We start from the raw sequence: 1,997 nt of genomic DNA on the forward strand, positions 1-1,997 counted from the left end.
GTACCTTCATAAAAATCCAGCAGAGATCCAAATTCCATTCAAGCTATGGAGGAACAGGGACTACAAGTCAGCAGAAGGAGCCACTTGCCTCTGTCTTGGTCTTTGCAGAGAGGAGATTGGTACCATGTTCCAGAGAAAAGCTGATCGTAAGGGACAATCAAGCCACAGAAAATCGTTGCCTGGTGGCTTTCCCATTCTTATGAAGTCCAGATGTACTTCCTGAATTTTATGTCCATGAGATTCTTCTGAGTTCTTTCAGTAAATCCATACTTTCCTAGAGCTAGTCTATAACTCTAGCTTCACAGATTCCGGTGTGCACAAATTATGACTTTCAGTATTTTTCTAAAATCAACTTGATTTCTGTTTTGACCTTCCAATCTGTTGCAGATGCAAAACTACAACTCAGCCAGTTGAAGGATTCTTTCCTGCATCCCCTGCCCCAAGTTGTTTTGCAGTTTCCTGGAACTTATGTAGTGCTAAGACATCAAGATGACTGAAGAAGGGGTGTGGCAGTTGTCTGTTACAAGACACTCTCACCGTTGTGCAGGCCCCCCTGAGACATTCTTCACCCCACGTGGTCTTCAGGTGTCAGTCCATGCAGGCTCCATGGAGACCGCCTCCTTCCCAGCTGAATGGTCCCATCAGGTCAGCAACCTTTTCCATTTCTCTCAAGCTACTCTGAACGCTCTTGGGCCACCCCTAGTGCAGGAGCTCTGTGAGGCTGGGTAAGGCCTTGACTACTAATACTCACCACACAGACATTTTCTGTCTGGAAATCTTACTGTCTTTTGGGGTCCATTCATCTAGCTGTGGGATTGGGCTCCTTCCATGGGGCTCTGACTTTCTGTAAGGCCCACCAATGTCATCGCACTGACCATTTTGCCTTGACTGTTCTGTCCTCTAACCCAGGAAATCCTTTTCCTCTTGGCTTGCTGGGTAGTGAGAAGGAGGAAACACTGCATAAACCAAGATGGAGTTTTAGCCACTCAGCAGAATAAAGTGTAAAATCATAAGTTTGATTACTAAAACATAAATGTATCATTTGCACAGAATTGAGATGTAGACAAGAAGACTTGTATTTGCCATGTTAAGATGCCTACCCAGGAATGCTAAGAATTCTTATGGAACCTACCCTACTCCCAGACTGGTTAACAAATAGTTGAATTTGAGCCAATTTCTTTGAGGCAATGGCTGTGACCTCAGTGAGCACTGATGTGTGAAAATGAGTTAGACGCTCAGAAGTCACTGCTGGTTTCAGAAAAAAAAGTCTTTGAAAGAGTACCTCAGGATGCTTTCTGTCTCCCAGGAAGTCAACAGAAGGAAGGAAGAATGGGCAAATGAAAACTTCTGAGTTTTCTGCAGAGATTAAATTATCTAATTTCTGGGAAGCTGCCTCAGGAAAGACAGGGATCTCTTGAGGACCTCTGTCAAGGATTCTAATTTTTCAAAAACCACAACCTTTTTCCAAGGAGAGTGGAGCAATTCTAGGTGAACTGGCTGCCTCCAGCAACCGAGAAGTCGCTTGTTACTCTGCAGAACCCACACAGCCCCTTAATGTGACATTAACTCAGTGACCTAGAGCACGTGCAGAAAAGGTCTATATCCTGGCTAGAAGGAAAACTCTGCCTAGCCCCAAGGGGAATATTTCAAGGTAGCTGGTCTGAGTAGAAAAGGGGAAATGTTCTCCAAGTAGAAAAGTGCAAATGGATTCTGCTCTTCCTTGATTTATGGGAAGATAAACACTTTATGGGAGATTCTACCCACAAAGAGACCCAGAACTAATAACTTGGAAACTGAGGTATATTTGGTACCAGGAAGGGCAGCTTGGGAAACCAGAAGAGAACTAGATTGGGGCCAGGCTGACTCTGCAGGAGCCTAACTCATTCAGCTCCCTTGTCCCCCTCTGAGCCCAGAGAGACCCCAAGGCCCAAGTTAAAATAGTACCACCAGAAGGAGGAGAATTATGCATCTAAAAAGCAGTTGGGGTAACAGCTCCA

The sequence above is a fragment of the Homo sapiens genome, chromosome 5 (assembly GCF_000001405.40).
Source record: "Homo sapiens chromosome 5, GRCh38.p14 Primary Assembly".
NCBI classification, from domain to species: Eukaryota; Metazoa; Chordata; class Mammalia; order Primates; family Hominidae; genus Homo; species Homo sapiens.